The 27,279-nt window shown below is 38.5% G+C and overlaps 1 long non-coding RNA gene and 1 pseudogene across 1 annotated transcript, besides 1 other annotated feature; one reads left to right on the forward strand and one right to left on the reverse strand.

Annotated features, from left to right (window-relative positions):
- Positions 1–5,119: 5,119 nt before the first annotated feature.
- LOC105372187 (uncharacterized) lies at positions 5,120–26,652 on the reverse strand. The gene is made up of 4 exons (NR_188047.1): positions 26,516–26,652; positions 13,625–13,811; positions 12,551–12,651; positions 5,120–6,395 (listed from the first exon to the last, which is right to left on the reverse strand). It is a non-coding gene; the product is annotated as an uncharacterized LOC105372187 (long non-coding RNA).
- LOC100132647 (signal peptide peptidase like 3 pseudogene) lies at positions 15,179–16,407 on the forward strand (annotated as a pseudogene).
- Positions 19,759–19,928: an enhancer, noted in NCBI's record as "experimental_49614 CRE fragment used in MPRA reporter constructs". NCBI's record gives its function as "activates a minimal promoter by MPRAs in K562 erythroleukemia cells, with activity observed for both the introgressed and non-introgressed 18:68897586 variant alleles {active_cell/tissue: K562}" and the evidence as "EXISTENCE:reporter gene assay evidence [ECO:0000049][PMID:34662402]".
- Positions 26,653–27,279: the final 627 nt, after the last annotated feature.

A 27,279-nucleotide genomic window follows, 5' to 3' on the forward strand; every position in this document is an offset into this window, starting at 1 on the left:
CATTGTTACATGTCTTCATTGCTATATAAACCCCTGGTTTTAGTCAGAGAGATGGATTTGAGACTCAGTTCCCGTCTCCTCAGCTGCAGCACCCGATTTTAAAGCCTTCCTTGGCAATACTTGTCATCTCAGTAATTGGCTTTCTGTCCAGCGAGCAGCAGGACCTAGACACTGGTGTTTCAGTTAACAACGTTATATTTATTTTTCAGTTTGAATTGTCTTTCTGAATTAGTTATAAGGTGGTTGAATTGAATGACTGAATATTGAACTTTATTCCTTTTTTTTTTTTTTTTTTTTTTTTTGACGGAGTCTTGCTCTTTCACCAGGCTGGAGTGCAGTGGCGCGATCTCGACTTACTGCAACCTCCGCCTCCCGGGTTCAAGTGATTCCCCTGCCTCAGCCTCCTGAGTAACTGGAATCACAGGTGCACACCACCACGCCTGGCTAATTTTTTGTATTGCAGATCAATGGAAACCTAGGAATATGGTTAGAGGGGATATGCTGGGGGGTAAGATAGAAAGATTATAAAGAGTTTAGGAAGAAACTTTTGGTAGTGATTTAAATCTTCTTAACTTGATTGTGCTTATGGATTGATGTCTGCATACATGTATCAAAATGCACCTGAAATATGTGCTTTATTGTATGTTAATCATATCAATAAAGCAGTTAAATAACACACTAATTTGAAATTTTCCCATTTCTACCTTAACTTGAAAAGTAATCTGGAAATATTATACCTCCAAAGTGATAGAGACATGTTTAGTAAGTCACATTTAGGTTAGAGTTTTACATTTTTATTAGAAAATATTAATAACTTTTTAAATTTAATTCTTTGCGATTGATAGGATTTTTAAATTTGACATCTCATGTCAAAGTATTTGGCCTTGTATACTCATATTATGATGTAATGAAATACGATTATGTGGACTTTCACACTGTAAATGGGATTTGGGCAATTGGTAATCTAAACTACATGAATTTTATTTCTCTCTTTGGTATTAATTTAATATTGAGTCTTGTTGAAACTTTAAGAAGAAAGAATTGTGTATGGAATTGGGTGGGTTCTTGGTCTCACTGACTTCAAGAATGAAGCCGTGGACCCTCGCGGTGAGTGTTATAGTTCTTAAAGGTGGCGTATCCGGGGTTTGTTTCTTCTGACATTCGGATGTATTTGGAGTTTCTTCCTTCTGGTGGGTTCGTGGTCTCGCTGGCTCAGGAGTGAAGCTGCAGATCTTCGCGGTGAGTGTTACAGCTCTTAAGGGGGCGCATCCAGAGTTGTTCGTTCCTCCCGGTGCATTCATGGTCTCGCTGGCTTCAGGAGGGAAGCTGCAGACTTTTATGAGAGTGTTACAGCTCATAAAGGCAGTGTGGACCCAAAGAGTGAGCAGCAATAAGAGTTACTGCAAAGAGTTAAAGAACAAAGCTTCCCCTCTGTGGAAGGGGACCAGGGTTGCCAGTGCTGGTTGGGGCAGCCTGCTTTTATTCTCTTATCCGGCCCCACCCACATCCTGCTGATTGGTCCATTTTACAGAGAGCCCATTGGTCTGTTTTACAGAGAGCTGATTGGTCTGTTTTGACAGACAGCTGATTGGTGTGTTTACAATCCCTGAGCTAGACACAAAAGTTCTCCACCTCCCCACTAGATTAGCTAGATACAGAGTGTGGATTGGTGTATTTACAAACCCTGAGCTAGACACAGAGTGCTGATGGGTGCATTTACAAACCTTGAGCTAGATACAGAGTGCCGATTGGTGTATTCACAATCCTTCAGCTAGACACAAAGATTCTCCAACTCCCCACCAGACTCAGGAGCCCAGCTGGCTTCACGCAGTAGATCCTGCACCGGGGCTGCAGGGGGAGCTGCCTGGCAGTCCTGCGCCCTGCGCCCGCACTCAGCCCTTGGGCAGTCAATGGTACTTGGTGTGGTGGAGCAGGGAGCGGCGCTCCTCTGGGAGGCTCTGGCTGCGCAGGAGCCCATGGTGGCAGAGGGGAGGGGCGGCGGGGGGCGGGGCGGGGCGGCGGGGGGCGGGGGCGGCGGGGCGGGGCGGCGGGGGGCGGGGCGGGGCGGCGGGGGGCGGGGCGGGGCGGCGGGGGGCGGGGGCGGTGGGCGGGGCGCGCGGGAAGACTCAGGAATGGCGGGCTGCAGGTTCTAAGTCCTGCCCCGAGGGGAGGCAGCTAAGGCCCTGCAAGAAATCCAGTACAGCAGCTGCTGGCCCAGGTGCTAAGCCCCTCACTTCCTGGGGCTTGTCCGCCGGCCGGCAGCTCTGAGTGCGGGCCCGCGGAGCCCACGCCCACGAAGAACTCGCGTTGGCCCGCAAGCGCCGCGCAGCCCTGGTTCCCGCCCGCGCCTCTCCCTCCACACCTCCCCGCAAGCTGAGGGAGCCAGCTCCGGCCTTGGCCACCCCAGAAAGGGGCTCCCACGGTGCAGCGGCGGGCTGAAGGGCTCCTCAAGTGTGGCCAGAGTGGGCTCCAAGGCCGAGGAGGCGCCCAGAGCGAGCGAGGGCTGGAGGGCTGCCAGCAGGCTGTCACCTCTCAGAATGAACTTTTATTAAGAGACTTGGCCATCAACCTGGCTTCCATACTGTAAGTAATCATTGATACAATCTTTTGCCTGCATGTCATTCTTAAGGCTTTTATAACTCTCGCCGAGTTAATGCTGAAAAAAGTAGGCTACACATTGACATCAATGTGAGTCGCACACTCAAGACTAAATCCTTAGGTGTTATTTTTATTTTAATGCCCCTAGTTCTATTGCCTAAAACCAATAGAAAATATAAATTTTGCCCTGTGCTACTCTTATTAGTCCTTTATTCTCCTTAAAAGGTAACATTTATTCCTTCATTTCCTGCTGTATTTGTTCTTTGAAATTCATGTTAATTTTTCTGATCCACGTCGAGATGCCTTATATTCATAAACTTGAATTTTACTCCTCACGTATTCAAACACTAAGAACAAGTTGTCATCATAAAAATATTATTTTGCCTTTTTTCTGAGTTATTTTTGTTTACCATTTTTAATTTATGCATCTTTATTTTTCTAAGCCCCTGTTTTTATTGCTGGCTCATCCCATTCAATACCACCACCTTACAATGTCTCTTTATTTTCACAGTGTGATATGCAAAACATGAATGCATGACAGATGTTGTAAATTTGCCTAATTTGATTTGGGGAAAGAAATTGGGTCATTTATCTTAGTAAATTCAAAACATGATTTCAGTTAATTTTTTTTTTTCTGTAAACATTAAACACTGAGACAAGCCCTGATGCCCTAGCTTTTTAAAATTTTCCCTGTGACTCCACTACTGCATGATGAGAGGGGTTCTCTGTGTTCAACAGTGCTGTTCACATTATTAGTAGAGAGGTTTATAAATTATAAAGTCTTCATGATATCTAACAATCACAGGGACTGTTGGCAGTAACTTATGAGGTGCACTCATTTTCTTTTACAAGATGGCACTGTTTCCATTTATTACTTGATGAATTGCTTAAAATCCATCATAGTTTATAATTATTCATTCGTTCATTAATTTCTTTTTCTTAATTCAATATTGATTTGAGTGAGGAGGATGTTGATGTGGCATTAAACAAGCAGCTATGTTCAAATCTTCTGAAAGACCATCCGTACCTAGAGAATACCTATTTGGAACTAAATCCCTCACCAAAAGCCTATTAAAGCCTTCATACATTTTTATAAATTTCACAAATAGTAGCCAAGATCAGAAATAAGTGTCATAAATGATTGGAAGATACAGGTCTGAGTGTGAAGTCTTTATAATTTGTCATGGTTTTAGATGCATGATGACCCCAAGGAGATATCATAACCTTGGGTGAGACTGCTTCCCAATTAATTCCCAGAAAAGGGGCGATGTGTAAGAGGTCAGATCCAATGCTCCAGGATAATGGGTGTCAACAAATAGGAGGCAACTCTGTAAAATATTTGAAGAGATTTATTCTGAGCCAAATGTGAGGACCATAACCCATGACGCGGCCCCAGGAAGTCTTGAGAACATGTACTCAAGGTGGTTGGGTTACATTTAGGAGGGCAGAAGTTATAGGTAGAGACATAAATCAATAAATGTATGGTATACATTGATTCAGCCTGGAAAGGCAGGGCTTTTTAAAGTGAAAGGTGGCAGGTGAGGGGAGAGGGTTGGGGAGACATCCAGGTTACAGGTGGATTCAAAAATTTCCTGATAATTGGTTGAAGGGGTTAAGCTCTTCCTGAAGAGCTGAAGTCAGCAGAAAGAAATGTTTGTAGTTAAGTGGGAGGGAGAGGGGATTTAGAGGCCAAGGTTCTTATGTAGATGAAGCCTCCAGGTAGCAGGCTTCAGAAGAATAGATGGTAGATGGTAAAGGTCTTTTATCAGACTCTAAAGGGTGCCAGACTTTTAGTTAAATCTCTCCTGGAATGGGAAGAGACCTGGAAGGGGAAGGGGATTTTCTACAGAAGAAAGATTTTCCTCAAGAGACAACTTTGCAGGTGCCATTTCAAATTTTGTTCAAAGAAATATATTTCAGGGTAAAATACTTTGATTAATTTCAGGGACTTCTATCTGTCATGTGATGGTATACCAGAGTCAGGTTGGACTGTGATGTCTTATTGCTGTAAAAAGCCTGTTCTGTCAATGTTAAGATTTCTGTTTTAATGCTAATGCTGATCAGTTGTGTCTGAATTCCAAAGGGAGGAGAGTATAATGAGGCATGTCTGACCACCCCCTTTTCCATCATAGCCTGACTAGTTTTTCAAGTTTTCTTTGAAATGACCTTGGCCAAGAGAAGGGGTCCGTTCAGTCAGTTGGTGGGGGACTTAGAACTTTATTTTTGTCGTACGTGGAGAAATAAGGTTCTAAGTTCTGGTTGGGGGAATCTGGGTAGTGTATGAATGACAGTTGTCAACCAGTGTGGCCTCTCTTATCCTTGGTGCTTACCTGGAATATTTTGTCTTTGTTGCACATACATAATTTGGAGGATTTATAACTGGTCCTGTGTAATTCTTGAACTGTTCACTAGTTGAGAGTTAGTGAAAAACAATCTTATGCTTTGTGTATTAATGCCATTAGAATATTTAGTAGACAGTTATCTCATAATGAACTTGAAAGGCGAGAAACTAATCAAAAGATATTAGCTAAAGCCTTTATTAAAACATTGCAACATGAAACACATTTCAAGATGACTATGGGGACCAAGTAGATAAATATTTCATAAGATAGAATTGGGAAAGGCCACATGTAACCCAGTGGGTTAATCTTGCCCACTGCCTAGACAGAGCTGATTTATCTAGACAGGGGAATGGCAATAGAGAAAGAGTTTAATTCATGCAAAGCTGACTGTACAGGGGACCAGAGTTTTACTCAAATCAGTCTCTCCCAAAACTTGGAGACTGAGGTTTTCAAGAATAATTTGGTGTATAGGGGGTCAGAAAGTTGGCAGTGCTGATTGATCAGGTCAGAGATAAAATAATAGGGAGTCAAAGCTGTCCTCTTATGCTGAATCAGTTCCTAGGCAGAGGCCACAAGTCCAACTGAGCCAGTTTATCAAGACCTGGGTAGTGCCAGCTGATCCTTTAAGCACAGAGTCTGCAAAATATCTGAAGCACTGATCTTAGATTTTACAATAGTGATGTTATCCTCAGGAGCAATTTGGAGAGGTTCAGATTCTTGTACCCTCCAGCTGCATGACTCCTAAGCCATAATTTCTAATTTTGTGGCTATTTTGTTAATCCTGCAAAGCCAGTCTAGGCTGTAGGCAGGAAGGGGGTTTGTTTAGGGAAAGGGCTGCTATTATCTTGGTTTCAAAGTTAAATCATAAACTAAGTTTCTTCCAAAATTAGTTTAGCCTACACCAGCAATGAATAAGACAGCTTGGAGGTTAAAAGAAAGATGAAGGCAGTTAGGACACATCTCTTTTACCTTCTTTTCTCAGTTATGATTTTTGCAAAGGCAGTTTCACAGTCATAGTTCAGTTTTATTCCGAGAATTATTCACTGGCAAGTTCTTGGAAATTATGGGGAAACTGAAATCGTGTTGCTCATGGGATAAGATGCAGGAAGAGCAAGGTGTGGTCCTAGTTAAGCAGCTATTGGTTGGTCAATTTGAATTTAGCAAAAGTAGTGGAAAGAAACAGTGGAAACTAAGTTCTTGTAAGGATCAGTACAACGTTTTAAGTCCTTCTCTTTGGCCAGCATTGGCGTAAAAGATAACATGCTAAGGACAGTTGTCAGAGTCCAGATTTCCATTCGTGCCTTCCAGTATCTTTGGAGATTGTTGAGTCTTGAGTGCATTCAGCAGCTCCTTATGTGACTTATATTTCTGTTGTCACTGTAATAATCTGTCCAGGGGGTGGCAGTTAACAGGTATTTAGGGCTGTAAGTAGGATACGATGTAGAACTCTGAAGCCTAGAAACACAAGAACTAGAATCATTAACAGTCTTTGAAAGGCTGTCTATCCAGCCCACCGTTTTACCTGGTTTTAATCATAAAACCAAGTTCCACCCTCCATCTGGATTCCTTGATCCAGACGACCCAGAATGTGGCAGAAGAGCCAGGTTGTCAAGGTTTGTTTCCTTTGTGTCTCATTTTGTATCTGATTAGTGAGGTATTTTCAAAATAACAGAGTCGCTTGTATAAATCAAAGCATTAGTATTAAAGGAGGACATTTCTTGAAGTTTTTAAATCCTCGTTAATTAAAAATCTTGAATTTAAACTCAAAAGACAGGAATAAGACAGCTAGGAAAAGAAGAAGAAGAAGAAGTGTTTGGTGGTCACAAGGATGCAGGAGTCAAACTGCTAGCAGCAGTGAATTCGATGGGTCTGCAGCAACTCAATTCTTGCCTCCTTGGAGGAGAGAATTCAACCAAGGGACATAAGGCAGAGGGAGAGACTGAGGCAAGTTTTAGCGCAGGAGTGAACGTTTATTAAAAAGCTTTAGAACAGGAATGAAAGGAAGTAAAGTACACTTGGAAGAGGGTCACATGGGCAGCTTGAGAAATCCAAGTGCCCTGGCCAATGGTTGACTTGAGATTTTTACACACTGGATGGTTCTGAGGTTTGTGTTTCTTCTGCCTTGATTTTTCCTTGGGGCAGCCTCTCTGCATGTGCAGCGGACTGCCAGCACTTAAGAGGGGCCTCATGCAGAATGTGTTTACTCAAGTTGTGTGCATGCTCCTTTGAGGCATTTTTCCCTTACCGGTTGAACATTCCCAGAGAATAGTCATATGCCAGTTAAACTCTGCCATTTTGCCTCTTAGTGCACATGCTGGAGCGCACTTGCCCAACTCCAGAGATCTTATCAGAAAGCTAATCACCAGCTTCAGGTGTTTTATATTTATTGGGAGACTACCTTTCCCTGGCACTGGCTGTGACCAATTATTATTTTAGAGAGACAGTTTAACAACCACCTGAGCATCACCTGATGGCTGCCTGACATTCCTGCAGGGCGGGGCCTCTCCTGTCCATGTCTGCAGAGCTACCTGCTCTAACAAAACAAGAAATCTTCGGTAGAGGTTTTCCACCTGTTGCTTCATCAAGGTTCTTTGAAAAACAATCCCCTTTGTGATGTGCCTGCTTCTGAAGAATCCTGAGAGATTCTGTGTGATAGCTCCCATTGGTATGGAGATGCTGGAGATGCATAATGACTTTTAACTGAGAGATGTGACTCCAGAGTTCCATTCTGTGAAGTTTTACTGTAGTATTTATGATTGATAGTGCCTGGTCAAGTCTCTTTCTGTGGCCCAAGAGCATTCCGAGGTTGACGTCATTTTTAGCAAACCAGTAATCTTGGCAGATCATGCAGGATTCTCTTATTTGTCTTTGGAAAAAGCCGAGTGCAACTGGCTTTGTTGATTATATACTTGGATATACAGCATAAAATCTCTACAGCAATTGTCAATTTTGCAAACTTTAATTTTGGGGTAATATTTATTCTTTTAATTTCCATTGATGACTTAAGATGATAAGAACAGTTGAGTTCTGGAAGATGAACTGTCTTTTGCAAACTCCTTGGTTATAGTCCCTACAAAGCTGGTACCTCTGTAACTGGATAAGTAAGTTGGTGTGTCCCAAGTTAAGAATATATAGTCTAGAAAAAAAATTAAGCTAGTGGCAAGGTAGTTGTTTTTTGACAGGGAAAAGCTGCCATCCAGAAAACAGACAATAGTTGGAAGATATTTATATTCATTGGAATGTGACCATGTATAAAATGCATCTTCAAATGTTCAAAGCCTTCATTGAAGCCGTTATTCCTGTTAATGCTTCACCTTTACAGCTTTGCTAGTGTCATTCATTTGGCAGGAAAAACACATGCCAGAAACATCCTCAACAATGTAGAGTAAAATGGCCAGTGTTTTAAGCTTACAGCCAATTTTTCTCTTAACCTTCTAGGCAATAATCTGTGTTATCCAGCATTATCAAGGTGAAAGAGTGAAATCCTCTCTTACAAGATAGCCTGGAGAATTAAGTTACAGTTGGTGATTATTCTGGAAATAGCAGCACAGTGTTCATGATTACCTGGGAGTAACAGTTTGTGAAGCACCAATCCCCAACCTTTTTGGCACCAGGCACTGGTTTTGTGGAAGATCATTTTTCCATGGACAGGGTTGGGGTTGGGGGGATGGTTTCAAGATGATTCAAGTGCATTATTAGATTTATTATGCACTTGATTTCTATTATTACATACTCATCATAAGGTAGGATCAGTGGGAGCCCTGAACTTGTTTTCCTGCAACTAGATGCTCCCATCTGGGGGTGATGGGAGACACTGACAGATCATCAGGCATTAGATTCTCATAAGGAACATGCAACCTAGATCCCTCGCAAGCACAGTTCACAATAGCGTTTGCACTACTATGAGAATCTAATGCTGCCACTGATCACTCACCTGCCACTCACCTCCTGCTGTGTGACTTAGTCCCTAACAGGCCATGGACTAGTACTGGTCTGTGGCTTGGGGATTGGGTAGCCCTGTTGTAAAGGGTAAGAACAGACATGGGGACAAAGCTGCCTGGACTTTCCATTTACATCACAAAGCCACTGTATTTGCCACTGATTGTCCCTGACTGAGATGTGCATTAACGTCGCACAACAAATGTTAATAGGGAGAATCATTCACCAGTTTTGATGCTTGAACATGAATATGTTTCTTTAACTTGAGAGAGAAATATTGAAGTGATTTATACAAATACATTTTATGTGCATATAGTGAAACTATGAAAACTGAGCTTCTCTTAACTGAGATTCTTTTTCCCACTGCATGTTAAATTATATAAACAACAAGTTCCCATTATAGTTACATTTATTAAAAATTGAAGAATGGAGAATGCCAAAGCATTTTATTATCCTTCTATTTTGAAGGTAAGGGAGCAAATTTTTTTGTTATTCATTGGAATTTCAAAGATATTCAAAGATATCTGGGAGAAGTAGGAACGATCCACATGAGTCCACTGTGAGGACAACTGGAAATGCATATCTGGTGACTCCTGGACCCACTCTATTTGCCTCTTGGTTGAATTTAATCTGATCCTTTTGCCACAAAGAAAAAAAAATAACGCTAAATATAATGCCTTTTCTGAATTCTGTGAGTTCTTCCAGTGAATTATTTGAATCTGAGGGTGGTCTTAGGAATCCAAACTTACAGCTAGTATCAAAAGTTAAGGCTGTCTTGGGGACTGCCAAACTTCATAATACGTAAAACCTAAAATATCTGTGACTTTCTTGAGTTTCAAAACCAATGTATTTAGAAAATTTAAAGCATGAAAAGCTTGACCTTGGTATTGAATAAAATTAGACTTAGTGTTGACATTAATTTTATATAATAAAATGTGGAAGGAGATAAACAATATTCTAGAGAATACCCTTATTATATACTAATTCTAATTTGTCAAAGGATTCATGTATTTGTTCAGGACTATTATGAACCTACGTAATTCTCGAATATAATTTATAAACCTCTGAATTCATTAAAAATGTTAAAGATGGCTGGGAATGGTGGCTCATGCCTGTAATCCCATCACTTTGGGAAGCTGAGGTGGGCAGATCACGAGGTCAGGAGTTCGAGACCAGCCTGGCCAACATAGCGAAACACCGCCTCTACTAAAAATACAAAAAATTATCCAGGCGTGGTTGTGGGTGCCTGTAATCCCAGCTACTTGGGAGGCTGAAGCAGGAGAATCTCTTGAACCCAGGAGGCGGAAGTTGCAGTGAGCCAAGATTGCACCACTGCACTCCAGCCAGGCGACAGTGTGAAACTCCATCTCAAAAAAGCAAAAACAAACAAACAAACAAAAAATTTCAAAGACTTTCAAAATCGTAAGTTCCATCCTTTCTATTGCAACTACAGATCTTATAAATAGCAAGAAAGTCTGTAATTAGATTATATTTTGTTGTTGTTCTTACTGTTGCCTTTTTTTACATGGCCCGTATGTTTTTAAGCAAAACAAATGCAGTTTAATAATTTTTAGCTCTTTTTTCAAACTTTGTCTGAGCTAGATATTATTAGGATACATACATAAAGACAAAAAACAAAACTTTGATCACTGAGTCTCCAAAATTCCCCCAGAGAGAAGAAAAGAGTGGGAGAAGAAAAAAGGAAAAAAGTAACAGGAGAAGCAAGTGGGAGCTAGCTTCATACAAATATTAAGTTTTCATCAGTAAAATGTAATTATCTTTCCTCTTCAAGGACGAAAGGTTAGAGGCAGGAAACCCATTTTGACACAGACATACACACTCACACAAACACACACACGTGGACACAAACATGAGATTTATTACAATTGGTTAAAATAAGATGACCTCACTTAAATAATCTCTTTTAGACAAGAAAGAAAATTTCATGAAGGCTTCTCCCTTTTATGCCTCTGAAAGAACAATTTTCTTTATGTCAGAAATTCTTCAAATTGATCATTGGAATTATAAATTCTCCTTGGTGAGATTCATATATTCTATGTTTGGTGTTGTTCACATCAACGTAAATATTAATAAGCAGAGGGCCACTGGCTTCATTGTCTACAACAATTCTAGTGGTGAGAAGCAAACACGTGCTACCGCCCCTCTGTCACAAACAAACAATACATCTTTATCTCACACATAAAAGCCCCTATCAGTGACAATAGTAACAATGTAAAATGTGAGTGTCACTCAACACAAAATGAAAGATTTCCATGCAGAATCAGAGCTCATCTGGTGTCTAGCCACACCGGCCCCAGTCGGGGGAGAGAGCAATGTTGCTTCAGTGTTGTTGTGCTTCTTCACTAAAGTATCCGGTCCAGGTAATGGGAATCTTGTCCTGATCCAGTTCTTCTCAAAGGAGAAGCAATAGTGAATGCCATTACCTCAAATTAAATAAACCCACTGCAGCATGGCAACAGCTCAAGGTGAATGGCTTTCAGAGCTGACAGCATGGATTGGGAAAGGACAGTTTTTCTCTGAGAGCTGTTCTCTGAATCCTTGGAAGGTATGAAAACCTGGATTTATCAATCAGGTTGTAGTATTCAGGGGTAGCAAGTTTTGGGGCATCATTTAACAGCTATTGTTGGTCAATTTGGATTTAGCAAGTGATGGGAAATACAGTAAACGTCTTGCAAGGGTTAGTGATGATTGGTGTGTGTGTGTATATGTGTGTTTCTGTTTTTTTTTTTTTTTGAGATGGAGTCTCGCCCTGTCCCCCAGGCTGGAGTGCAGTGGCGCGATCTTGGCTCACTGCAAGCTCCGCCTCCCTGGTTCATGCCATTCTCCTGCCTCAGCCTCCCGAGTAGCTGGGACTACAGGCGCCTGCCACCACGCCTGGATAATTTTTTGTATTTTTAGTAGAGACAGGGTTTCACCGTGTTAGCCAGGATGATCTCGATCTCCTGACCTCGTGATCTGCCCATCTCGGCCTCCCAAAGTGCTGGGATTACAGGCGTGAGCCACTGTGCCCAGCCGTGTATGCGTGTTTCTTAATCCATCTATAAGCATCTTTCACAAACACATATCTAAAAATGAACCCTTGATTTTCCACTTCAAAATGTAGTCCTCAGATTTCCTCACCTCTGTTAATGGTAATTGTATTAGCCCATTTTAATACTGCTATGAAGAAATAACTGAAACTAGATTATAAAGAAAAAGTGGCTTAATGGACTCGCAGTTCCATATGCCTGGGGAGGCCTCACAATCATGGAGGAAGGTGAAGGAGGAGCAGAGGCATGGCTTATGTGGCAGCAGGCAAGAGAGAATGTGCCAGGGAACTGCCCTTTATAAAACTATCAGATCTCATGAGAGTCACTCACTATTATGAGAACAGCAGCATAACCACTCCTTATGATTCAATTACCTACAACTGGGTCCCTTCCATCACACATGGGGATTATGGGAACTACAATTCAAGATGAGATTTTGGTGGGGACACACCAAACTATATCAATAATCCAATGTTTTAATAGTATATGACTGTAATCTTAGTGTGATCTTTGCTTCTGCTGTTTGTCTTGTTTCCTTAATCCAACATATAAGCAAATTTTGTCAGCTCTACTTTCAAAAATGTGCATACAATCTGACCAGCATTCAGCATATTCACTTACCTTTTGATCCAACACTCTATCATTTCTTATTTGGACAATTTTAGTAGTTCCCTAACGGGCCAGCCTCAGGATTTTATTTCCATAAAGTAGCCAGAAAAGTCCTGTTAAAATATGAGTTAGATCATATCATTTCTGCATTCAAAATTGCCTTGTTGTTTCCCATCTCATGAAGAATTAATTCAAAATCCTCATCTTTTCCTCTAACATATGATTTGGCTCTTGGCTACTTCTCTAATTTCAAAAACTATGAATTTTATCCTTTTCTCATGTGATCTAACATATTGTCATTCTTTGAACAGCCCAAAGACATCCCTGCTTTCTGCTTGTTTTTTTTGAATATTTGAATATCTAGCATTAAACAATAATAGATTAACTCCTAAAATCTAATGTCATCAGCAAATAATTACCTAGTATAATAATAATGATGGACACATAATATACTTCTAGCACTTCAATATAGACAGTAATTAACATTTAATAAACATACAAAAAGTATTAACATTTTACAAAGGAGAAAACATGTTTGGAGGATTTAAGTAATGTGCACAGTATTATCTGACTTATAATTGGGTACTCAAGATTCCATAATATCTGATTGTTTCTGAACCATGTTGCACAATAACTAAATATTGTGCAATGCTACAACTGAGAAAATTGCAAAGGCTATTTGCAACTATCAGAAATGTAAGACAATTTTAGAAAAGTGCATAATCACTTTTATGACATATGTGTTCTCAGTACCTGCTTTGTCAGATTTTCTATGCATTAAGTCAGTGTCCTGATGAAATTTCATTGAAACTAGAAAGTTATCTTTAATCATATGTATATATCTATACCATTAAGTTATGCAAATGAGCATATTACCACATTTTCCAACTTACATCCATTAGCACTTCATGGATATATAGATACTACACTATTTAAGCTCAATTCCCACTCATACTTCTTGTTGAAGTTAGTCTTCTTAAACTCTTAGCACATTTTTTGTAAGATTTTTCTAAAATCAGGGAGGATGGATGCTGTGGCAGTGGACACGAAGAAGAAATGCCCTTGCACATAACCTCCTCTAACTACCTGAGGTGACTTGCCGACAACTTGACCTTTCTTTCCTTGGGTCTCGCCATCTTGAAGAATCCAGGCATCTCACAGGCACATGAAACGTGCTTGGTTTTTTACTTCGTTCCCTGTTTCCTTGGCTTACTTTTTGGTGCAAGCATATTTTGCAGCTCCCAGAAGATAGGGTTCCTCCCTGTTAAACATTCTGGAAGACACAGAAAAGTTGAGAAATTAAATCACCCAGAGGTAACTACACTGATAAACTAATTTCCCTTTATTCACTACAAATGTTTTGCAGCTGCTCCCACCCTGGTTCTGGCACTGAACTTGCCAATGGATCTTCATGAATCGGGGTATCCTAGATCTCTTTATATCTTTAGTTTTATATTTCCAGGATATTGTCACAATTTCATCTCTCCAACTCTTAAATTTAATTATTTATTTAGCAACCATATTTTCAGTTCTTTTTAATTTATTATGGCAATTTTATTTTTAATATCCAAGAGCTCCTTTCCACAGCCTATTGTCTCGTGATGTAATACATCCTAAAGTCCCTGGGAGGTACTATTATACTTAGAGGTTTTTTTGTTTCATTTTTAAGAAACTGCGTCTTCTAAAAAATCGTTAGTGTTTCCTTTGAGTTTTAATCTCCTTTCTGCAGAGAGGTAGGTTCCTTTCATGTCGCAGTGTTTCCTCAAAGGGCCAGAGAGTCTTCTTTGCTCATTCATATTTAAGAACAAGGCAATGCAAAGGCGATTGCTGAGGTAAGTACAGAAGTCAAACTTAGTGACTCATGAGCTTTAAACGGTGAAGATCTGGAGAAATGTCTAAATACTAGCCTTCATTTGTTTAAAAAAGAGTTTCATCTTTCTTCCTGAGTATTATTTCTTGAAAGAATAATTCCCCAATTCTTGCCCAGGGTGGTATGTCCCCGGGCACTCAGCTTTTGTGAAGGTATGCAATGTGCTATCTGTTGGGTGAGTTTTTGATTATTTCTTCCTGAACACATCCACTTGGAGCCATGTATTTTCTGGCTTCTCAGTCTCTGAGTTGCAGTTCTGTGAATTTTCTGGGGTATATACTTCCTCCAACTTGTTTCATCCATTGTCCTCCTCCATTTGTTTTTTGAATTATAGATGTGTGTAAAACTATCTTATGGCCTGATGGTCTTCCATTTCTATGTATCATTATGAGTTTACAATCAACATACCTCATAATTTCACGTAATTTCATGGTATCTTGGAGGCAAGAAGAGATGCTCATATGTGGTCAGTCTGGCATCCTAAACTGGAAGTTTTATTTCTTAAATATGTCATTTGAAGATTAATTAAATTTGTATTTATTTACTGTTCTTAATGATTAGAAATATATGTAGTTAACTTTAATACCAAGTAATGATTTTGCTTTAGATATATGTTTATCAAATTCATCCAGAAAATATATCAGCTTTGGTTTAATACTAAAATAACAATTGTATAGATTTCAGATTAAATACCCTTGAAAAAGGTTATATATCTCTATATTGCAAATTTCAACCTCCGATTCTCAACAGACTGGTGTGTAGAAAAGACAGAAAGACAAGAGAGTACACAGAAAGACAATAATAGTTCTTCTGGGTCTTTCAATGGCAACAGCACCAATAATAGCATCAAATAATTGAATCTACCCAGGCTCTGTTCCTTCCGATTGGAGCATCTGTCTCTCTTTTATTGTTGTTTTGCTTCTTTGACTGAGCTCAAGTAGTTTTCACAATATGTACAGCAGTTCTTACAATGATAACTTTTGCTTTTCTTCTTCTCCTGATGTGCGAGTATTTAACTAGACTCTATTCACCTCAGAACAAGATTTCCCTGGGTTCCCCTGGATGTTTCACTGCTGCTGAGTTGTTGTTATTATCTCTGTCTGTCGTGCTCATACTCACCTGGGTTCTCACTGGCCATTGACTTCTCATGGATGCAATGGCTGTGGGTCTCCGTCTCACTGTAATTTTCTTTGTCTGCCTGTTGGGCTTCAAAGTCCCCTGCCTGCTTCTCTCAGGGCTTTTAATCTATGATGTCTTTTAGGTAGTTTTCTCAGCCTACATCTTTAATAGCAGTGTCATGGTGAATGTGGCCATGGCAGCTGGCCGAAAATCCCCTTTACGTTCTATCTCAGAAGCTCAGCCTGGGGCCTGGTGTTGGGCGTGATGTTCCTCGCCTGTCTCTGCCTGGAAAACTGGTCTTCCCACGTTCTACTGGGAGCCACTTCCTCATGTTGGGCATTGGAGACATTGTTATGCCTGGTCATCTGCTATGCTTTGACCTTCACTATGACAATTACAAAATCAAGCCCGTGGGGACTCCTGTGGTGGCCCTGGACCTGCCAACATCTCTGGGCGCATGCAGAAGGTCTTCTACTTTCACTGCACGCTCATGGGATACTTTGTAGATCTGCTCACGGCTACTGTGGCCTCTCACATTCACCAGGCCGCCCAGCCTGCCCTTCTCTGTTTGGTGCCATTTACCTTATTGCCACTCCTCATGATGGCCTATTTAAAGGGTGACCTCCGGTGGATGTGGTCTAAGCTATTCCACTCCAAGACCAGTAGCTCCCAATTCCTGGAAGTATGATGGATCACGTAGAAAGTGACCAGATGCCCATGATAGTCCTTTTCTCTCAACTTGTGGTTTTGTTTCCTCTCAGAACTGGCCTGGTATTCAGAGATGTACCTATGTAAGGAACTGCTGGGTGACTGGGTTTCACATTTAAAAGGAGCTTGTTTGCAGGAGAGAAGTGCTGGAGCCCTGTTTGGTTCCTTCTCTCTTTTTTTTTTTTTTTTTTTTTTTTTTTGAGACGGAGTCTCACTCTGTCGCCCAGGCTGGAGTGCAGTGGCGGGATCTCGGCTCACTGCAAGCTCCGCCTCCCGGGTTCACGCCATTCCCCTGCCTCAGCCTCCCAAGTAGCTGGGACTACAGGCACCCGCCACTACGCCCGGCTAATTTCTTGTATTTTTAGTAGAGACGGGGTTTCACCGTTTTAGCCGGGATGGTCTCGATCTCCTGACCTCGTGATCCGCCCGCCTCGGCCTCCCAAAGTGCTGGGATTACAGGCGTGAGCCACTGCGCCCGGCCGGTTCCTTCTCTTTCTGCAGATGTAGAGGTGGAGCCCCTTCCAGAGGGACAGGCCTCTCCCTGGTGCGCCTTCCTCCCTGTTTTTTATGGATCTGCACTACGTGGTTACTTTGTGGGTAGAGAGAGATGTGACTGTTTCAAAACTGAAAACAAGGAGTTGTTCAGATCTTTTGACCACTAAAAGGATAAAAAAAAAATTAGTAAACTAAAATTTCTTCAATGAGCCCTCGAAAACTTTGGGACTAGCTTCCCATGGAGATTCTTCTTTCCTATTTTTTGATTTATTAAATATTTTCTGTGGTGTGACGCTTTCTTTCTTTTCTTTTTTTATCCAAATCTGGACAAACTAGAAATAGAAAGTTTGGGTGATCGCAATACACTCTATAGACACATTCTAGCATCATTTCCACTTACCAGGTATCAGAGGATCGTGGTGCCTGCAAATGCGTGCTCCTATATGCAAACACATAATTACCCGAGACTGGGTAATTGATAAAGGGAAGAGGTTTAATTCACTCACAGTTCCACATGGCTGGGGAGGCCTCACAATCATGGCGGAAGGTGAATAAGGAGCAAAGTCACATCTTATATGATGGCAGGCAAGAGAGCTTGTGCAGGGGAACTTCTGCTTATAAAACCATCAGATCTTGAGAGACTTATTCACTACCATGAGAACAGTATGGGGGAAACTGCCCCCATGATTCAGTTATCTCCACCAGGCCCCACCCTTGACATGTGGGGAATATTAAAATTCAAGGTGAGATTTGGTGGGGACACAGTAAATAATACTTTACTGAGGCCCCACTCCATGGAGAATAGGGTTCAAAGTCTTAGCCTACCCCTAAAGGTCTATGAGCCACAGCTTCAGTGCAGCATGTCGTAGAGCACCACACACTGAGGGCAGACTTCCCAGATCATTTCCAACCTTTCACTTAATAGCTTTGTTACCTGTGGCCAGGTTTTTACACACATCTCATAGGGTTGTCATAGGATTTAATAAGGTAATTTTTATCACATGGCTTTAAGTTGTTTTTTCAAAGTAATATCAAATATGACATCATTTGATTATCCAGGGAACTCAATTATTGATACAACTTAGCTTTTTCTCTGAAACAAAAAAAGACACTCAATGACACAACAATAAAATTAAAATAAAAACTATATAAAAATAAAAATGCACCATGAATTATTTATATTTAAAATTAGCTCAATCCCATGACATACGATGGAAGGTAAATATAAATCAAATCATGATCTTCTTAATTAAATAGAGAAGGGAAAACACTCATTATTTGCTTATAAAAGTTGAAGTTAGATGAGGGAACCATTTACCTGAGGCTCCAGAAAAGTCGTTGCTAGATGCTTAAAATAGGAATGTAAGAAAGAGATGTGAGAGAGACAGAGAGAAAGACTGCATAATAGAATCTCAAATATACGCATACTATTCCTTTCAAAATTTTGTGCTGCAATGTAATTTTTAGACAGAATTACCATATACAATTTTCTAATTCCTGTTTATAATGTTTCTCAAATGATTATATAAATAAGTTTAAAGTATAATTATTTTAGAAAATTGGGGTAAATCACTCTCAGAACAATCTTCAGTATTTATGTAACTGCTAACTCTAGAGTATTCCAGTATTCCCAATTAAAAATCCATTTAAGTAGGGAGCCATTGGAAAATAATATATAACAATGGGAAAACCAAAGGATATATTTTGGGGGATTAGTGGTAACTAACAAAATAGTGACAAAAGATGTAGTAATAAACAATAATGTCAATAATATAACCTTATTTACAAGAGTCTGATATGATTGTAAATGCAATTATTCTGAAAATTTTAGACAGGAATAACTAAAAACATTACAATCTCTCTTTGAAAAACAAGAAAAACAATTGAGAAAGGGAAAGGAGAAAATGTCCAAATGTAGATTATAGCATGAATAAAAATTTGTAAATGCTATATAGCTCTACTGGATTTTGAAAATAGAATAATAACTCATTAATTTCTCATTGTCCTAACTTAGTGTGTGTAAAATATTATCAATTCTCCAACTTTTTTCAGATAGATTTTGAATAATGGCCTAAATGTACCTAATTGTGCTATCTTCTATTTTATGTCATTGTAGGGGAAGGAACAGTATATTCTTTTCCTATTGCTGCAGAACAAATTATGAGAAATGTAGCAGCTTAACACAGGTTTATCATCTCACAGTTTCCATAGGTCAGGAGCCTTGCTTGTTTTGGATAGGCCTTCTGCTCAGTGTCTCATAAGGCAGAAGCAGGTCTCAGCTGGATATATCCTCATCTGGAGGCTCTATTAAGGAAGAATCCACTTCTGAGATGTCTCAAACTGTTGGCAGAATGCATTGGCTACTATATGACTGAAGTCCCTGTTTTCTTGGTAGCTGGGAATGCTCTTAGCTCCTAGAGACTCAGGTTCTTGGCGTGTGCTCTCTCCATAAGCCCTGCCCGCAATATGGCAGCCTTCTTCAGTGCCAGCAGCAGAATCTCTCTCATGCTCTAAATCTCCTCCTTCAGATTAGGCCAGGCTCACTCAGGATAATTTTTGATGAACAGAAAGCAAACATATCTGGTGTCTTAATTTCACAAATATTCTATTATTTGAATATTTCAAGATTTGTATATTTGAATTATTCAAAAAAGAATATTGGGGTCTATCTCAAAATTTTGCTGCCACAGCCTGAGTAGGGTAATTTTAACCTTAAAAAGATTTCGATATATACCCAAAGCAAATAAAAATAGTTTTGTGATATTCAAGAGTGACACCTTCATCAAAATAATTGACCAAAAAATTAAAGTATAATTTAAAACCCTAAATATATTTTTTGAAGAATATAGTAGAGCTTAGAAGTATAGCTTTAAATTTAGTATTTAAAATATGTTTCAAACAAATAATGGGAATTGATAAATTCATATCTCAATGAGGTAAAATCATTAGAGAAATAAATTCCCTAGAGGGAAAATTTTTATAGTTCATATCTTGATAAATTGTTTATCTTCTTGCATCACTCTTGTAACCAGTGTTCAAAATAGTAATAGGAAAACTAAAGACTGTAGAACCTAGTCCTCCAGCATATTTATCTATTTAAGAAAACAAAATGTTATATTTTATTCTAAAATAATACAAGATTATAATGGCTCTTTAACTTAGGTAATTGAATATTTAATTTATTGATATTCTTAAAATGTTTCTTTCCAAACAGACTACTTTTTTTCAGTTTGATCTTCTTTCAAATGTAAACATGCAGTTTTTTTGTTTCTGAATTTTTATATTAATTGCAGTTTATTAATCAATATTGATAAGCATTTCATGGGTATCAAGACCATTTGATTTGAGAAGCATTAAATCACCCCTTTATTAAGAAGGGTTTCTCTTATAATATACAATGTATCTTACTTTAAATAATTTGTTGGGTTTTTTAACATGCTACATAAAAAGAACAGCACAAAAACATGAACTTGATTAACCCATGACAGCTTAATCTCATTTTCTCTATTCCATGGAGAAATGCTGCCTTCCATCCATATTCTGTGTCTGTCTCATGTTCAATAAAATCAAATGTGGTATTGCTTGGTGTCACTGAGCCATGTACATGCCTGGGTGGATGCCTGATCATAAAGCTGCTGGGAACCTGCAATAAGGAAGTGGGCTGGGAAGATTTGGAGAACATGCTAGAATGTTTATAATAAAAAAGAACCTAAAGTTAAACAGATAAGGCTTAATGAATGTATCCAGATATCTCACAAAGCATAACTTTGTTTTGGAGAAAAGTACATTTAGTCAACTTAAAATTTCAAAAAGTTTCATTCATTTCATCCAATCATTGATGGCCATGGTTCTACTGCCTGTTTATTTTGCTACTTTTCAGATGGAAATGATTTTCTTGCCACCGTTCTGTTTCACCCCAAATGTTTGTTATAATAATAATTATTATTACTGTGGTCCATCTGACTCATTTTGTAACTTTCTGTGATCATTATTTTGCACAGAAACAGATTAAATAAGAAAAAAATGATGAATGTACTGTAATGGTGAAAGAATAATGATAAGAATGTAAAAACCCTTTAAAGAAAGTAAATATGTTTTATACACAAACATTTATTGTTCTTTCTGCAGTATCCAAATTTTAAGGGAAAGGAATAATGCATATGCACACGATTAAACCTTTATTTCTTTATCAGGTTAAGTAGAATAGCAACAACAACAAAAGCATTTATATTTTGGTTTGTTTAATTCCTCCCACTTGAGGTAAGGTAATGTATTAGAAGGGAATGGGAATGGGCTCAGAAGTTAATTTTGGTCCTACCATCCAAAGTTTCTGGGTTTTGACATTGAAAATGTTATTTATTTAATTTCAGTATTTCTGTTATTTTCAATGGGAAAGTAGAGATGCATATGTATCTTGGAAAGTTGAGATGATTAAATTAGGTAATAAATTAGGAATAGCTGTCCTGATGCCTGCCTTGCAGGAAGGCACTCCATGAGTGATTGCTATCCCTTAAATTGCTCTACAGGTAATTTTATGATGTCCTCATTGCTATAATAGTTGACTAATCCAACTCTAGAGTCCACTAGTTAATGTATGTTCTAAGTACAAATCTTTATTCTCAATTTATGAAAGAGTTAGTATAGGAAAGAGTTATATTCTTTCCTTTTTATTAACTGACTTCTATAAAGTATTAATGACTAACCTTGTGAAAGTGTTAAAGTACTTCTGAAGATGTCTGTTCCCAAGGAGCAATCTGTTTGCTTAAAGAATCTGCTTAAACAAATGACTTTATTAAATAACCAGGTATTTCTAAAAAGAATGGTATTAAAGAGGCAATACGAAGAATATTAATTACAAAATTTTCATTTTAGCCCACAAGGGGGAAAAATAAAATGGAACAAGAAAATGGACATAGAAAATGCTCAGTCTGTTTGGATTTTTACCTTCCAAACATTGCAGAAAAGCTTAACACATAAGAACTAATAATATTTAAATTATAATATCCCCCATTCCAAAGATCCAAGTGAGAACAGTAGGCCGTTGAAAGATACGTGCTTTTATGTGACATTATTTATGATAAAATTAAGGTAAACATCTAGACATGCATTAGATAAACAGCAAAGTCTAGGATCTTATTATTTACATTATTTGGTTCAGGTACTTTTCTCTGAAATAAGCCTTAGATTTCTTCAGAAAAGGTAAATATAGAGGATAAATGCTTTCTATTCTTCTATACCATACTCTTCTGTAGCTTAATACATTGCATGTAGTCATGATATGTCATAGTATAAAATAGTGGCAACATATGTTTCCTTCTAGCAGCATATGTTTAGAACAGTCTCATGCCTGTAATCCAGCACTTTGGGAAGCCGAGGTAGGTAGATCATGAGGTCAGGAGTTTGAGACCAGCCTGACCAACATAGTGAAACCCTGTCTCTACTAAAAATACAAAAGTAAGCTGGGCGTGGTGGTATGCACCTGTAATCCCAGCTATTCAGAAGACTGAGGCAGGAGAATTGCTTGAACCCAGCAGGCAGAGGTTGTAGTGAGCTGAGATCGTACCACTGCACTCCAGCCTGGGCAATAGAGCGAGAGCCCCATCCCCCCAAAAAAAAAACAAAACAAAACAAAAAAAAAACCAGTCTATCCATTTTCTCTTTTTTATTTTAGTTTCTATTTTTAAATTAAATTAAATTAAATTTTTTATAAAGACAGGGTCATGCTACGTTTCCCAGGCTGGTCTTGAACTCCAAGGCAAGGAATCATCATGCCTTGGCCTCCCAAAGTGCTGGGATTACAGGTATGAGCCACCATACCTGGCCTTCTATCCATTTTAGAATCATGTATTTTAAAGCTTTTTTGGAATTCAAAGTATTTTTAATGGAATATAATAAATGGTGGATTTATATGTGGATGCATTAAAAATAATAGAATATATACAAATGTGATTATCTAACTCTATGTGTGTGCATATATAACATTTTTTCTCCCTTTGCCATTCTTTTAAATATGTTTTTCTATGGGGAATATTAACTACATGTATTAGAAAATAAGATCATTATCACCATCAAGAACGTTGGTGGGAAAGCTATGTTGTAAGGGCAGGAGGATTTTTTAAAGTCTCGCACACATGGCAGTTACTGAATAACACGTGGCACAGCGTCCTTGCCCTCTATATGCTTACTAGTATTTGGCTTTAAAGTATGTCCAGCTTCTTTCATTCATTGCCATTTTTTCTTCAAAATGTCACTTTACTGATATTTTTAATTATAATTCAGTGTGCTGCTTAAACTACTAAACAAGAGAAATTGTAAAATAGGGCAATATTTTTGTTTTGCCATGTACACTCACTTGTTTACGTAAATAGTTTAGTATACTGTGATGTAAGGCACAGGTAGAGAAAGATGTGAATATAGTAATTTGAATATGAAGTGTATATATGCATTAATAAACATGTTTTCATGCAATTAAAATAATACATATGCTTCTTATCTTGACATCTAGACATTATCTAGGCATATACATTTTATGTTACAATGTCAGTTATTTGTATTTATTATAAAATTATCTCCATTTAATGCAGTATTCAATATATTTTAAAGTATATGTATTACAGATGTATACTTGTACACGTATATGTTTGTGTGTATATATATATTTTTGTTTGTTTTTTTTTTCTAGATGTAAATGTAGTCTTAGTTTAAATCTGGAATATCTTGCTAGGCTGGTTCTTTTCTTTCCTACATATACGAACATGATATAATAAAACAGATCATCTTGTTAACATACCTTTTATTTTATTCAGAAATAAAAAATCGTTTATTTACATTGCTCTAAAGACATTTATGAGTATTTCTATGCGATGTTATTTTAAACAGAACTTTTATCATTGATTGTGATGAAAGCTATTGTCGATAACCTTTCATGGACTTGATTTAGTGTTATTGGCAATCGCAGAAATGTCAAGAAACACTGTGGTTCTGGAGACTTAACAAGGTGGTGACGATATTTCATAACTGTGTGGTGTACACTTGAAATTTACTGAAAGAGAAGTATTTACTGAATTTACTAATTTACTGAAAGAGAAGTATTTTCATCACCAAAAAATTAAGTGAGGTGATATGTTAATTAGCTTGATTGCAGTAATCATTTAACAAAATATATGCATATCAAAACATGTTGTACACCTTAAATATCTATCATTTTTATTTGTCAATTATATGTCAGTAAAGCGAGAAGCCACTTTGGTCACTTCCTTCACTTTTTATGCCAGATTGAGACAGTTTCTTCTATTTGGGTAATGAGTGCAAGGGAGGTCTTCTGTGATTTCGTGAAGTAGAATTAGTTTGGAATGTTGGAAGATGAATTTCCTGCAGCTTCTTCAGTCACTTTTCTTCAAATCAAGGAGTAATTTTATTGAAGAAAGTCCAGGGTACCCAGAGCCAATAGATTACTGAAGAGTTCAAGAGGTGAACTCTTTTTCAGTCTGTCTTTTCTGAACAGCTTATTTGAAATCTAAATATTTTATATATATGTAGAAGTTTTTTCCAGTTATAAGATCAATATGTTTCTATTACATAATATAATATGCAGTTGTCTCTCACCATCCATGGAGGACTGGTTCTAGGATTCCCTACAGAGACCAAAATACACCGTTGTTACAGTCCTTTCTATAAAATAGTGGCAGCATATGTTTCCTTCTAGCAGCATATGTTTAGAATAGTCTCACGCCTGTAATCCAGCACTTGGGGAAGCCGAGGTAGGCGGATCACAAGGTCAGGAGGTCGAGAGCAGCCTGACCAACATGGTGAAACCCTGTCTCTACTAAGAATGCAAAACTAAGCTGGGCGTGGTTGCATGCACCTGTAATCCCAGCTACTCAGGAGACTGAGGCAGGAGAATTGCTTGAACCCAGCAGGCAGAGGTTGCAGTGAGCTGAGATAGCACCACTGCACTCCACCTTGGGTGACAGAGCAAGAGCCCCATCTCAAAAACAAAAAACAAAAAACAGTCTATCCATTTTGTCTTTTTTTAGTTTCTATTTTTAAATTTAATTTAATTTTTTATAAAGACAGGGTCATGCTATGTTGCCCAGGCTGGTAGAATTTGCATATAACCAATGCACCTTCTCCTTTTAAATCATCTCTGGATAATTTATAATACTAAATATAAAGTGTTATTTAGTTTTTATAGAGAACTTTTAAGTCTGTATTTATTGTTCTATTTTTTTTTTAATATTTTCTATCCACAGCTAATTGAATCCATAGAAGCAGAAGCTGTGGATACAGAGGGCTGACTTTAATACATATAAGCCAAAAAAAAAAAAAAAATGAAAGAAAAAAGGAAGATAAAAGAAGGAAAAATAATAAAACGTACAGAGAAAGGGAGAGAAATCAAAAAGTTGAAACAAAAAAAGAGAGAAAGGAATAAGGAAATAGAGAAAACTGGACATAAGAGGTGAGGAATAGAAGGAAGATGGAAGTTAGGAAAGATGGAAAATGGAAAGAAGTGAGGAAGAAAAATGAAGAGGAAGAGGGAAGGAAGGAAGAAAGGCAGGAAGAAAGGGAGGAAGGGAGGGATGGAAAAAGGAAGAAAGGAAGGGAGAGAGGGAGGGAAGGAAGGAAGGAAGTCTTTATACGTGTTATGCATTTAGTAATACTATAACTTGTGCATCTTTTTCTAAGTTCAATTTGTTTCCAGTCCAGTATGCATTTCCTTACGGATATTGAGCACAGAATGGGTTTTCTAATTTGCAAATTTCTGCTATTTAATCCCAATCATTTCCCCCAGTTTTTATTTTTGCTTGTTTATGTTTACCATTTTTTTTTTTAACAAACTAGGATTTGTCTTCCTATAGAAAAATGGAGATTGTCAGTAAAGAGAAACAGAATAAGAGGCATAAATTAGAGGTTGAGGAATCGCTATTACCTGTCTTGATGCATCACCCAGTGGATTTAAAGGGACACATGACTGAAACAGACCCCAGGTATTTGAGCCAGGAAGATGGACAGAAAGGATATAATCATATGCTTGTGTTTTTGTCTTTTAAAAAAATATTCTTTAGTTACTTTGAGGTGAAGACTCACTGGATAAGTTCCCTTGTAGCTGTCAGGCAGAGATGTCATTTTCAACAATTTTGGAACTTGTGAGCCTACTTTGCAATAATTCTGACTTGTACTTCTGGCTATAGAAATTTCTAGGTTTAACATAAATATTCAGTACCCATTTCTGCTTCCTTCAGCTGTCAGCTTCAACTCATCTTTAAAAGTTTAACACGTTAGATTTGTATAGCACTTAACTGTTTTTAAGTCAATTTCAGGAATAAAATTTCATTTTTTCTCAAACAGCCTTCAGATGTCAAAATTAATATCCTAATTTTAGAGAGAAAGGAACTCAAGTACACAGGGATGAACTGTTCTTTCCTGGGTTACCTGGACAGCCCCAGAAAGAAATAAGGTTACAACTCAACGTTTCTGAAGCCTACGTTAGTGAAATGAAGATGATTCTGTTTTGCTTTGCTTTTCATTTTATAAGACAAGCATCTGTAGGAGGAAATGGACGATCTGGCTAACCTCTCCTTTCCCTAGTCAATGCACTGGATCTTCCTGTGTTTTATCAGTCCCACTCTAATTATGCCTCTAAGTGCCTTGAGTGGGAAGATTTTTTTTTTTTTTCCTCTGTCCTTCCACACAGAAGTGCTCAACTTCTAATAGCAACTTAGGTTGTCAAGTGACTCTGGCCATAAAAGGAACCTGGTAGCGATCCCTTTGACATGCGTTAATACCTGAGTGTTATGGTTTGGCTGCGTCTCCACCCAAATCTCATCTTGAATTGTAATCCCCATGTGTCAAGGGAGAGGGCTTGGTAGCGGGTGATTGGATCATGGGGGGCGGTTTCTCCCATGCTGTTCTCGTGATAGTGAGTGAGTTCTCACGAGATCTGATGGTTTTATAAGGGGCTCTTCCCCTTTTGCAATCTCCTTCCTGTCGCCTTGGGAGGAAGGTACTTGCATCACCTTTGCAATCACCGTGATTGTAAGTTTCTCAGGAACTCCGCAGCCATGCTGAACTATGAGTCAGTTAAACTACTTCCTTTATAAATAACCTAGTCCCAGGTGTTTCTTCATAGCAGTGTGAGAACAGACTTATATGCTAAGATATGTAAGTGGTCAGAGAGATTTAGAAAGTCCCGTCGCACTGAAATCAGTACCCATTTCATTTGATACTTTTCCATTTTTCACTCACTCATGCATTCATTTCCTCATTCAAATGTTTTTGCTGAGCTGCTATTTCTTGCTATGTATAAACCACTGTTCCCAATCCAGCTAATGCATAGCGAAGTAGCACCCCAGATTTCAGGAACATTTGCCACCAACGGACAGGATTTTTTTTTTTCCAAGATAAAACTAAGACTGAAGAAAATAATGTTTAAAGATTCAAAAATAAGGGGGAAAGTATATTATGTAACCCTTAACAATACTTGGAGTGTGGGAGACTCAGCTTGCAATAAATGGTTGAATTCTCATTCCAATTTGTAAGACATCCCTGT

The sequence above is a fragment of the Homo sapiens genome, chromosome 18 (assembly GCF_000001405.40).
Source record: "Homo sapiens chromosome 18, GRCh38.p14 Primary Assembly".
In the NCBI taxonomy this organism is placed as follows: domain Eukaryota; kingdom Metazoa; phylum Chordata; class Mammalia; order Primates; family Hominidae; genus Homo; species Homo sapiens.